The sequence below is a fragment of the Homo sapiens genome, chromosome 15 (genome assembly GCF_000001405.40).
Source record: "Homo sapiens chromosome 15, GRCh38.p14 Primary Assembly".
NCBI lineage: Eukaryota > Metazoa > Chordata > Mammalia > Primates > Hominidae > Homo > Homo sapiens.
In genome coordinates, this window is record NC_000015.10 from 95,592,087 (window position 1) to 95,592,511 (window position 425).

The following is a 425-nucleotide window of genomic DNA, read 5'->3' on the forward strand; positions in this document are numbered from 1 at the left end:
CACCGAGTCTCACACTCATTTGTCCTCTTATCATCTCCCTGTCTCTTCTGGCTCAAGAATCCAAAAGCCAGTATTCCATTCCTAGCTTTGGCAGAAGATGAGAAGCAGAGAAAAATGAAATGGAAATATCAGTCAGAGAATACTTGCCTTTATTGTATTTTCTTTCCTAAAACTAATTATTCTGGCTTGAGAAGGAGAAGAATAATAAAACGCTGTGAATCTTTACTTGATTTCAAAATTTGCTTAGATACAAAATATTGGGTAGGGCTTAGTTGAAAAGCTATTAGTTTTCCTTATGTTAGCTACAAGTTCAAACCCTTTCATGTGGTCATTTTTCTATTATTTCATAACATATTTCCCGCCTTTCAACTAAAAAGTAAATACCCTGGTTTAGAAACAATAAATTTGGTTTTCACTTTTAAAAT